Here is an 11467-nt window from a genome sequence, read left to right on the forward strand (position 1 = left end):
TTGAGCTCAGGAGTTCAAGACCAGCTTGGGCAAACGTGGTGAAACTTCATCTCTACACAATTAGGTGAATTTTTTTTTCATATATATATATGTGTATGTGTGTGTGTGTGTGTGTATATATATATATATTTTATATATATAGTGTGTGTGTGTGTGTTTGTGTGTTTTCTTACCTAAGAATTAGGTGAATTTTGATTTGGGAGAAAGGTCAGGAAAAAATCTAGACCAGAGCAGTAGTTCTTAAATATGGAAGACATTTAAGAATCATAGGCCTGGCGAGGTGGCTCACACCTGTAATCCCAGCACTTCGGGAGGCCGAGGTGGGTGGATCATGAGGTTAGGAGATCGAGACCATCCTGGCCAACATGGTGAAACCCCGTCTCTACTAAAAAAAAAAAAGTTATCTGGGTGTGGTGGTGCGCGCCTGTAATCCCAGCTACTCAGGAGGCTGAGGCAGGAGAATCTCTTGAACCTGGGAGGCGGAGATTGCAGTGAGCTGAGATTGCGCCACTGCACTCTAGCCTGGCAACAGAGTGAGACTCTTTAAAAAAAAAAAATTCATGCTAGAATCGAACTAAAATGCAAATGCCCAGTCCCACCTCCAGAGATTCTCACTCAGTAAGAATAGCTGGAGTCCCAGAAATATGTATTTTTCACAAGTGCCCCAGAAACCCTGATGTAGATTGTCCTAGACCACACTTTGAGGCGCTGATGGGGTGGGCAGCCAGCTTCCAGGAGCTGGGACACCTGCTGATAGTCCTTCCTGCCACTCACTGTGATGCAGGTCTATGCTGTGTTCTGAGGACATAATGCATAGATGGAGTGACTCTGGGAGAAGAAAACTTGCAAGGATGTGCTGAGCAATCTGGAAGTATGACAGGTCCTGAAAACAAAATTTGTCCGTGTATACATTTTCCCATAACTGTTCCTGTCCTGTTGGGAGCCTAGAGCCACTATTTTCTGAAGAAAATAAAAAGAGGGTATGTTGGTATTGTGTTGGAATGGGGCCTTTCACAATTAAAGTGGTGATAATCATTGTTTCTAAATTTATATTTTCATGTTAGTGATTCATTAGCATTCCAAATATCTGCATGCCAAAGAATAAATTTGCCCAATAGCAATACATTTCATATGCTTTTGTGGAGGATTTTCTGACTTTAAAAGCCAGCTGCATTCATTTTTCGGGGTCACTGTGACCACTTTTTCATTCATTCCTTCAACAAATATGTATCAGCCCAGTGTGGTGGCTCATGCCTATAATCCCAGAACTTTGGGAGGCTGAGGCGGGCGGATCACCTGAGTAGTCAGGAGTTCAAGACCACCCTGGTCAACGTGGCGAAACCCTGTCTCTACTAAAAATACAAAAATTAGCTGGGTGTGGTGGCACACACCTGTAATCTCAGCTACTTGGGAGGCTGAGGCAGGAGAATCGCTTAAACCTGGGAGGCAGGGGTTGCAGTGAGCCAAGATGGAGCCACGGCACTCCAGCCTAGGCAACAGAGCAAGACTCCGTCTCAAAAATAAAAATAAATACATAAATAAATAAAATTAAAAAAACAACACAAATATATATGGCACTTGAGATAACTTAGTGTTCACAAACTTGAATACTAATAGAGAAGACAGAAAATAAATATAATGAATGAGAAGTAGAATAAATTACTTGCTATAAAGTGTTAATGCTATGGGAAAATATTCAAGTAGAGAGAAAGAAGAAAGAAACGAGGTTCAGTAAAGACTGGTGCAGTACCAGTTTTTATATATATATATATATATATATATAATTTTTTTTGAGACAATATCTCACTCTGTCACCCAGGCTGGAGTGCAGTGACATGATCTCGGCTCACTGCATCCTCCGCTTCCCAGGTTCAAGTGATTCTCCTGACTCAGCCTCCCTAATAGCTGGGATTACAGGCACTTGCCACCATGCCAGCTAATTTTTGTATTTTTAGTAGAGACGGGGTTTCACCATGTTGGCCAGACTGGACTCAAACTCCTGACCTCAAGTGATCTGCCCGCCTTGGCCTCCCAAAGTGCTGGGATTACAGGTGTGAGCCACCTCGTGCAGCCCAAAATTTAAAATAGAGTTTTTAGGGTAGGCCTATCATTTGAATAAAGACTCGTAGAGAGTGAGGAGACTGGGTATGCAAAATTCCAAGCAGAGGAAATGGCCAGTGCAAAAGCTCTAAGGCAGCAAACCTGCATGGAATATTTGAAAAACTGCCAGTAGTCAGGTGTAGTTAGAATGCTATGTGCAGGGAGGAGGTCACCACAGTGGTGGTGATGAGGGAGAAAGTGCAGAGAGCAGAGGGCCTCATATACCATTGTAACAAATTTGGCTTTCACTCTGAAAAAAATAGGGAGCCACTATTGTCAGAAGACACATGACTTGATGCGGCTTTTCATTTTATTTTGTTTATTTATTTACTTATTTTTTTTAGACAGAGTTTTGCTCTGTCGCCTAGGCTGAGTACAGTGGCACGATCTTGGCTCACTGCAACCTCCGTCTCCTGGGTTCATGCGATTCTCCTGCCTTAGCCTCCTGAGTAACTGGGACTATAGGCATGCACCACCACGCCCGGCTGATTTTTATATTTTTAGTAGAGATGGGGTTTCACCATGTTGGCCAGGCTGGTCTCGAACTCCTGACCTCAAGTGATCCTCCCGCCTTGGCCTTCCAAAGTGCTGGGATTACAGATGTGAGCCACTGCACCTGGCCCTGGCTTTTCATTTTAAGGGATATCTCTGACTACTGTGTTGAGAATAAATTGTTTTTTTTTTGTTGTTGTTGTTGTTTTTGAGATGGAGTCTTGCTCTGTCACCCAGGCTGGAGTGCAGTGGCACCATCTCGGCTCACTGCCAGCTCCGCCTCCCGGGTTCACGCCATTCTCCTGCCTCAGCCTCCCGAGTAGCTGGGACTACAGGCACCCGCCACCAGGCCCGGCTAATTTTTTGTATTTTTAGTAGAGATGGGGTTTCACCGTGTTAGCCAGGATGGTCTCGATCTCCTGACCTTGTGATCCGCCCACCTCAGCCTCCCAAAGTGCTGAGATTACAGGCGTGAGCCACCGCGCCCGGCCGAGAATAAATTGTTAAAGGGGCAAGGGTGAAAGCAGAGATAATGTCTGGAGGTCAGTGCAATAATGCAATGTCAAGGTGACAGTGACAAAGACCAGGATGGTAGTTGTGAAGATGGTGAGAAATGGTTGGAGTCTGGGTATATCTTGAAAGCAGAGCAATTTAAGTTTCCTGACAAGTTGGATATGGGATGTAAGAGAATGATAGAATTCAAAGATGCTTCTTTGGACTGAGCAAACCAAGTACAGATGTGGCATTCACTGAGATTGTCATCCTTTGTTTTAGCTAACACTGTACTGTATTCAAAAGCCAACCAGTCAGCATGAACTTAATTACACTGAGGCATGAATGCACATTGCTTAGCCTTTGGAATGGGTAGCTTTCATAGGCAAATTGCCTGTTTTCTAATCCTGGCTCACTGCCTGCTAGCTGTGTTACTTAACCTCTTAAATTTGAGCAAGTTACTTAACTTCTCTGAGCCTCAGATTCCTTCCCTGTGAAATGGGGATAATAACAGTACTACCTTGTGGAGCTGATAATGTTCAGGGAATTGATATATGAAAGCACTTAAAAACAGAACCTGGAATATATTTCAGCTAACAGTACGATTAAAATAGTAGATGAGAAGAGATTGCTAATTTTTTTCCCGTATTCCATTAGAGTTGGTTTTCCCCTTTTCTTTCCAGAATGAGTCACTTGGTGACTTTTAATTAGGGAGTTGCAAACATTTCTGGGAACTTTAGATAAAAGGTAAGTATTATTTTCTTTTGTCTGTCAGATGAATGTTAAAGATAGCCAAGATGGTGCCACTGCACTCAGCCCAGGCGACAGAGCAAAACTGTCTCAAAAAAGTAATTAAATAAATAAAATAAAATGAAAACAAAAGAAGAAAAACACTTGGACATATGAGAGGAAATGTATACACATTCAACATTAAAAATTAAAAGCAATTATTCTCAGATTTATGCTTAATGGTGTTAATGATGTTAGAATGAAGAAAGCAAATTTCAAAAACAAAGAGAACTTAGATATCATGTGACTCAATCCTTTCTTTATTCATTTTACATTGTTATGTAATCTGGATACCAGTGCCTGTCACCTGTTTGGAGGCAATTAGACTTCTAATATTTAAATAACTCGTGCCCTTTTTACAACACAGTGAAAACTCAGAGTCTATCCCAGTAATCCTCGAGTGGCTAACATTTTAGTCATTCTACTCCAATTTGCTGTTATTTGTTGGCATCTCTGGCTCTGCCCTCTCTGATGCCTTTTTTCCATCCTGTTCCCAACATTTATTTATTTATTTAGAGACAGAATCTCGCTCTGTCACCCAGGCTGGAGTGTAGTGGCGCTACCTCAGCTCACTGCAATCTCCGCCTCCCAGGTTCAAGCGATTCTTGTGCCTCAGCCTCCCAAGTAGCTGGAACCACAGGCATGCACCACCATGCCTGGCTACTTTTTTTATTTTTAGTAGAGACAGCATGAGCCACCGCACCAGGCCTCCTGTACCCAACATTGGACACAACCTAAATTACTCCCATTTCACAAAGCACCACTAATACAAGGTCAAGGGTGTAAGTTTTACTGGAATTTGTATTAACTGTAAAGGGTTGCAGAGCTACACAGTACTGGAAAAAAGTTCAAAATCATTACTGTGACTCTACTAAAGTCTACTAATTAGTCCCCGTCATAGAGAATTTCTATATCTCCTTAACAGATCACTTCCAGTTATATTTTTGCTGCAGGTCTCTCCTCCCCAGCCACCTCCCATTCCCAAGCCTTCTAATTCTTATTTTATTATTCAAAGCAGTTTACCAGTTTAAACTTTTCCTACCTATGCTTTTCAGTTTCTCGTCTTTAATAGCAAACGATTCATTAAGGTATATTGATAAATGTAAGTGACATTTACTCCAATAAATGTCACCGTGAATAGCAACTGCACTCCAGCCTGGGCAATGTAGCAAGACCCCATCTCTAAAAACATAAATAAAATAAATTTTTTAAAAAGAAAAGCACAGAGATAAGAGAGCTTAGAGCAGACTGGCCTCATCTAGTGATGATGAGTTAAGGAAGGCTTACTGGAATTAAGATAGATGTGAATGATAAGAAAATAAAGAGGAGGCCGGGCATGGTGGCTCATGCCTGTAATCTCAGAACTTTGGGAGGCTGAGGCGGGTGGATCACTTGAGGTCAGGAGTTTGAGACCACCCTGGCCAATATGGTGAAAACCAGTCTCTACTAAAAATACAAAAATTGGCCGGACATGATGGTGGGTGCCTGTAATCCCAGCTACTGGGGAAGCTGAGGCACCAGAATTACCTAAACCTGGGAGGTGGAGGTTGCAGTGAGCTGCGATCATGCCACTGCACTCTAGCCTGGGTGACAAGAGCCAAACTTGGTCTCAAAAACAAAAACAAAACAAACAAAGAAGATAAAGAGGAGTCAGACAAAGCTATTGAGTAACTTAAAGAAAGCCAGTATGGCTCCAGGGTACTTGGTGTGAGGCTGCAGAGAGAGGCAGGCGTGCAATCCTGCAGAGTCTCATAAGATAGGAAGCTTATCATGATCTAGGCTAGCAATGGGAAACCCCTACTCTGGCTGCTCTAGGAGAGAAGGGACTAGAGAAGGCAGAAGTAGAAACAGGGAGGCCAGTGGAGAGGCTATTGGAGAAGTCCAGGTAAGAATTTATGGCAGCACAGTTGAGGGTTCCGGCAGTGCACATGGCAGAAAGGGTTTGTGCTGAATTATTTTCTCTCCCTGTGCACTACATTATGTCCCAGGTCCCTGGGGCACATTGCATATTTCAAAAAAAAGAAACAAAACTATTTCTACATCAAGGTTTCTCAGCCTTGGCACTATTGACATTTTGGACGGGATATATCTTTGCTGTGCTGTGCATTGTAGGATGTTTAGCAGCTTCCCTGATCTCTACCCTCGGGTGTCCATAGCAGCTCCCACCCACAATATGACAACCAAAAATGTGTTCCAGACATTACAAAATGTTCCCTGGGCCTGGAAGTAGACAGTGAAGAGGGCAAAATTGCCCCTTTTGAGAATCACCATTCTATAGGAACATAGATATTCATTTGTTCGAAATTATCTGAGACAGCTGGGTGTGGTGGCTCACGTCTGTTATCCTAGCACTTTAGGAGGCTGAGGTGAGAGGATCACTTGCCTGGGAGTTAGAAACCAGCCTGGGCACCAGGGTGAGATGCCGTCTCTACAAAATATGTTAAAAAAATTAGCCAGGCATGGTGGCATGTGTCTATGGTCTCAGCTAATAGGGAGGCTTAGGCAGGAAGATAGCTTCAGCCAGGACTGCCAAGTTACAATGAGCTATGAACACACCACTGAACTTCAACCTGGATGACAGAGCGAGAAACGATCTCTCTCTCTCTCTCTCTCTCCCTCTCTCTTTCTAAGACAGAGTCTCGCTCTGTCACCCAGGCTGGAGTGCAGTGGCCTGATCTCAGCTCACTACAGCCTCCACCTCCCGGGCTCAAGTGATTCTCCCACCACAAGTAGCTGTGATTACAGATGGTTACCACCATGCCTGGCTAATATGTATTTATTTATTTATTTGAGACAAGGTCTCACTCTGTCACCCAGGCTGGAGTGCAGTTGCATGATCTTGGCTTACTGCAACGTCTAACTACCAGATTCTCCTGCCTGAGCCTCCCAGGTAGCTGGGAATACAGGCATGTGCCACCATACCTGGCTAATATTTGTATTTGTTCGTAGAAACGGGGTTTCACCATGTTGCCCAAGCTGGTCTTGAACTCCTGACCTCAAGTGATCCGCCCGCCTTGGCCTCCCAAAGTGCTGAGATTATAGGTGTGAGCCACCATGTCCGGCCAAGAGAGATTTTTTTTCCTCTTAAAAAAAAAAATTAGATAAATGTTAACAATTAAAATTTCTAGAATGGCTTCTCTGAAAATAATTGAGATGAAAATTAAGACAACAAGAATGTTTTTGGAAGCATTCTATAATAAAATTAAGGTTTATATGGGTAATAAGGAAAAAAGAAGCTGAATTGAAAAGGGGGTTTTGTCCATTTATTTATTTATTTATTTTCTCTCTTTCTTTTCCCTACATTTCCCCCTTTTCTATTCGACAAAACCGCCATTGTCATCATGGCCCCTTCTCAATGAGCTGTTTGGGTACACCTCCCAGACGGGGCGGCGGCCGGGCAGAGGCGCCCCCCACCTCCCGGACGGGGCGGCTGCCGGGCGGAGACGCTCCTCACTTCCCAGACGGGGCGGCCGGTCAGAGACGCTCCTCACCTCCCAGACAGGGTGGCGGTGGGGCAGAGACACTCCTCAGTTCCCAGACGGGGTCGCAGCCGGGCAGAGGCACTCTTCACATCTCAGACGGGGCGGCGGGGCAGAGGCGCTCCCCACATCCCAGATGATGGGTGGCCAGGCAGAGACGCTCCTCACTTCCTATATGCGGTGGCGGCCGGGCAGAGGCTGCAATCTGGGCACTTTGGGAGGCCAAGGCAGGCGGCTGGGAGGTGGAGGTTGTAGCGATCTGAGATCACGCCACTGCATTCCAGCCTGGGCAACATTGAGCACTGAGTGCCGTTTATTTAATCTTATGTTTCATTACGTCAAACTAGGTGTTCTACAAGCCTTACGTTATTACAGGAAAAAAAATACCAAAATAAACCCCATTTTGGCCTCAACATTTATAAGAAGATATTTCTCAAGGTCTTCTTCTTTCAACTCTGGCATGATATCCCAGAATGACCGAGATGTACTCCTGATTATTTACATAATATTTCCTTAAGAGAAATCAGGCACATTGCAAAAGCAGATGCAGAGGGTAACTTAGAAGAGTTTTGGCTGATAGTTGTTTTTTCCTCTTCTTGATCATAGGGTCTGAATATTTCAGAATCACACAAAAAATAATTTAGGTTTAAGGGTATTAGAGGCTCCATTTAAGACTTCATTACTTAAAACTGGCAAAAAATTGTGTTGAATAAATTACCATCTGAAAATCTCTAAATTTGACTAGCTGCTGAGATCACATTGGGAAAGAAATCTGACCCTAAATTAGTTTTTTTAAATAGTCATAACTTGTTTTAAAAAGGGGAAAATTAAATCAGTGTAAGGATTTTAGTATCTTTGGTCTTACTGGAAGCAGATCTGCTAGTATTGTTATAGAATGTAAAACTTTTTCTTGTCCCTGCCCCTCTGCTTTCATCCCTAAGCCCCAGCTCTCTTCCCAACCGACAGTCAGTACAACCCATAAACTGTCAGTCTGGCAGCCATTCTCAAAGGCCTCATGGCAGGAAAAGTTCTCTTGGATTTTATCCTTTCCCTTCTATAGACATGTTCATCTGAACGATCTGTGATTTAGTTTCCAAGTCATTATTTGCAGATCAGTGGAGTTTAAAATATTTATTGTTTTCAATTTAAAGCACTGTAGTCCAAAAAAATTTTTGTAGGTGTGGAGACAGAGTCTTGCTTTGTTGCCCAGGCTGGAGTGCAGTGGTGCCATCATAGCTGACTGCAGCTTTGAGCTCCTGGCCTCAAGCGATCCTCCCACCTCGACATCCTAAAGTATTGGGATTACAGGTGTGAGCCACTGCACCTGGTGAGAATGCACTGCATTCTGAATGTATAAGTATAATCTTTGATAGGCTTCTTTCTTCGACTCTAAGCACTTCAGCGTGGGAACACAGGATTTTCTATATTGTTTCAGACTTTTCTTGTAGGACCTTTTTTTTCTTTTTCTTTTTTTTGAGATGGAATCTTGCTCTGTCGCCCAGGCTAGAGGGCAGTAGTGGGATCTCAGCTCACTGCAACTTCGGCCTCCCTGGTTCAAGCAATTCTCCCTGCCTAAGCCTCCTGAGTAGCTGGGATTACAGGTACCCACCACCATGCCCAGCTAATTTTTGTATTTTTAGTACAGATGGGGTTTTGCTATGTTGGCCAGGCTGGTCTCGAACTCCCAACCTCAGGGGATCCACCCACCTTGGCCTCCCAAAGTGCTGGGATTACAAGTGTGAGACACCGTGCCCAGTCAGCACAAATTAAATACATAAATGCTGTACGTGCTAACAGGTCCACAACCTGTCTACCTCCAATAAATAACTATTTTTACTGGCCTTAAAGGTCTTGAGATGGACAACTGATCCTGGAATGTTTTCCATATCCATTACTTCATATCCTCAGGGCATTTTAGAAGGTGACTATGTGTTCTTTAAAAATGTGGCTATTAGTCGGGCATGGTGGCTCATGCCTGTAATCCCTACACTTTGGGAGGCTAAGGCAGGTGGACCACTTGAGATCAGGAGTTTGAGACCAGCCTGGCCAACATGGTGAAATCCCATCTCTACTAAAGATACAAAAAAAAAAAAAGAAAATTAGCCAGGCGTGGTGGCAGGCACCTGTAATCCCCCTTACTCAGGAGGCTGAGGAAGGAGAATCACTTGAACCCGGGAGGCCGAGGTTGCAAAGAACCGAGATCGCACCGCTGCACTCCAGCCTGGGTGACAGAGCAAGACTCCATTTCAAATAAATAAATAATAAATAAATAAAAATGTAGCTATCATAGTATAGTGGATAAAGAATAGGCAACTCCCTGAGTGTGACTTTTGGAAATTTCCTATGCTTGTTTAGGCCTTACCTTCCCATCTGTAGTGAAGATGATAACCATACTTACCCGCATCCATGAGCATGCCTTTCACTTTGTTCTCTACTGGCCTCCCTCATGGTTTTCAAATGTGTGCTACCATTTCTGGCATCACATGCAGACAGAACAACATCCAGTGCAAGAAGATATGCTGTTTCTTTCATTTTACTTTAAGCGAGAGGGAACATTTCCCAGATGTCTCATGGTTCACTGGCCAGAACCGATTCATGTCCTCTTCCTTAAGCAGTCACTGGCAAGGGGAGAGGGTTTATTTGATTGCCCTTTTTTCCTTTTTCTTTTTCTTTTTTTTTTTTTTTTTTTTGAGACAGAGTCTTTGTCACCAGGGTGGAGTGGTGCAGTGGCACAATCTCGGCTCACTGCAACCTCCGCCTCCTAGGTTCAAGCAGTTCTCCTGCCTCAGCCTCCCAAGTAGCTGGGACTACAGGCACACGCCACAGTGCCCAGCTAATTTTTGTATTTTTAGTAGAGATGGGGGGTTTCACCATGTCGGCCAGGATGGTCTCGATCTCTTGACCTCGTCATCCACCCGCATCAGCCTCCCAAAGTGCTGGGATTTCAGGCGGGAGCCACTGTGCCCGGCCTTGGTTGCCTGTTTAACCAGGATTCAAGTCACCTTTGAGGGACGGATGCATTGAATAAAATAGAAATTCTGTCAGCATATAAGTGATAATTGTAAACTGGGCCACGCAATCATTTTGCTATACTATCTTATAGGATTATTAGAAAACTAAATGCTATAACTCCTGTGAAATACTTAGTAATGATGATCATGGCACTTGCTGTGTGCAATACATTGTCCTTTACACATACAGCTTTACATGTACTGAAATCCTTACAAAAGCCCCATTGACTGTGTGTGTATTATTGTTGTTGTTTTTCTTTTTTAGAGATGAGGTCTCACTATGTTGCCCAGGCTGCAGTGCAGTGGTTACTCACAGGCACAATCATAGGGCATTGAAGCTTTGAACTCTGTATCAGTCCGTTTTCATGCTGCTGATGAAGATATAACTGAGACTGAGTAATTTATACAAGAAAAAGTTTAGTTTATTTGTTTGTTTGTTTTGAGAGGGAGTCTTGCTCTGTCACCAGGCTGGAGTGCAGTGGTGCGATCTCGGCTCACTGCAATCTCCACCTCCTGGGTTCAAGTGATTCTCCTGCCTCAGCCTCCCCAGTAGCCGGGATTACAGGCACGCGCCACCACACCCACCTGATTTTTTTGTATTTTTAGTAGAGACGGGGTTTCACCATGTTGGCCAGGATGGTCTTGATCTCCTGACCTTGTGATTCGCCCACCTCAGCCTCCCAAAGTGCTGGGGTTACAGGCGTGAGCCACCGCGCCCAGCCAGGAAAAAGGGTTTAATGAACTGACAGTTCCACATGGCTGAGGAGGCCTCCCAATCACGGTAGAAGGCGAGAAGGAGCAAATCACAGCTTTCGTGGATGGCAGCAGGCAAAGAGAGAGCTTTTGCAGGGAAACTCCCATGTTTAAAACCATCGGATCTCATGAGACTTATTCACTATCATAAGAACAGCACCGGAAAGACCTGTCCCTATGATTCAATCACCTCCCACTGGGTTCCTCCCACAACACATGGGAATTCAAGATGAGATTTAGGTGGGAACACAGCTAAACCAGATCATTCCACCCCTGGCCCCTCCCAAATCTCTTTTCCTCATATTTCAAAACCAATCATGTCTTCCCAATAGTCCCCCAAAGTCTTAAGTC

The 11467-nt window shown here is 44.1% G+C and overlaps 2 annotated features.

Annotated features, from left to right (window-relative positions):
* Positions 3132–3726: an enhancer, noted in NCBI's record as "OCT4-NANOG hESC enhancer chr5:90634700-90635294 (GRCh37/hg19 assembly coordinates)". NCBI's record gives its function as "activates a minimal SCP1, AML or CMV promoter by ChIP-STARR-seq in naive H9 embryonic stem cells {active_cell/tissue: H9 hESC(naive)}" and the evidence as "EXISTENCE:reporter gene assay evidence [ECO:0000049][PMID:30033119]".
* Positions 3301–3595: a silencer, noted in NCBI's record as "tiled region #9063; HepG2 Repressive non-DNase unmatched - State 23:Low". NCBI's record gives its function as "represses a minimal TATA promoter and a strong SV40 promoter by Sharpr-MPRA in HepG2 cells {active_cell/tissue: HepG2}" and the evidence as "EXISTENCE:reporter gene assay evidence [ECO:0000049][PMID:27701403]".

This window comes from Homo sapiens, chromosome 5 (genome assembly GCF_000001405.40).
Source record: "Homo sapiens chromosome 5, GRCh38.p14 Primary Assembly".
Taxonomy (NCBI): domain Eukaryota; kingdom Metazoa; phylum Chordata; class Mammalia; order Primates; family Hominidae; genus Homo; species Homo sapiens.